The sequence below is a fragment of the Homo sapiens genome, chromosome 1 (genome assembly GCF_000001405.40).
Source record: "Homo sapiens chromosome 1, GRCh38.p14 Primary Assembly".
Taxonomy (NCBI): domain Eukaryota; kingdom Metazoa; phylum Chordata; class Mammalia; order Primates; family Hominidae; genus Homo; species Homo sapiens.
Window position 1 is genome coordinate 19,569,934 of NC_000001.11, and position 924 is coordinate 19,570,857.

Consider the following 924-nt stretch of genomic DNA (forward strand, 5'->3'; position numbering starts at 1 on the left):
TATTACCCAAATATTTACTTAGCTCTTACCATATGCCAGACACTGTTCTGGACATCTGGAAGTATCAGTGAACAAAAGCCACAAATCTCTGCCCACAAGACTCTGATATTCTTTTTTTCTTTTCTTTACTTTTTTTTTGAGATGGAGTTTCACTGTTGTCACCCAGGCTGGAATGCAATGGCGCAATCTCTGCTTACTGCAACCTCCGCCTCCTGGGTTCAAGCGATTCTCCTACCTCCACCTTCAGAGTAACTGGGATTACAGGTGCGCACCACCACACCCAGCTAATTTTTGTATTTTTTAGTAGAGATGGGGTTTTGCCAAGTTGGCCAGGCTGGTCTCAAACTTCTGACCTCAAGTGATCCGCCCACCTCGGCATCCCAAGGTGCTGAGATTACCGCGCCCCGCCTTCTTTTTTTTTCTTTTTTTTTTTTTGAGACAGGATTTCATTCTGTCATCGAGGCTGGAGTGCAGTGGTACAATCAGAGCTCACTCCAGCCTCAACCTCCCAAGTTCAGGTGATCCTCCCACCTCAGCCTGCCTAGCAAGAAGCTGATATCCTAAACACTAGATATTCTGCTTCACTTCAGTCCCTTTTGCTGATCTGGAGAGAATCAAATTAATATTTGACAATAAGGACTTCATATCAACATACTGATTTTTCCAGGAATCACACTGAGGAATTCACCTTCTGTTGGTGATTATTCACCCTCAGCCTTACATTGTTCTCCATTGCACTGATAGCCTCCAACAATTGTCATCTGCTATGGTTTGAATGTGTCCTTCCAAAATTCATGTTGAAAATTAATTCCCAATGCAATAGTATTAAGAGGTGGGGCCAGGTGTGGTGGCTCACACCCACAATCCCAGCACTTTGGGAGGCCGAAGCAGGCAAATCACTGGAGCCCAGGAGTTCAAGAGCAG

General features: G+C 44.9%; 1 annotated feature.

Annotated features, from left to right (window-relative positions):
- Positions 329-578: a silencer, noted in NCBI's record as "fragment chr1:19896756-19897005 (GRCh37/hg19 assembly coordinates)". NCBI's record gives its function as "represses an EF-1alpha promoter that drives an FKBP-Casp9 reporter gene in an ReSE screen in HepG2 liver carcinoma cells {active_cell/tissue: HepG2}" and the evidence as "EXISTENCE:reporter gene assay evidence [ECO:0000049][PMID:32094911]".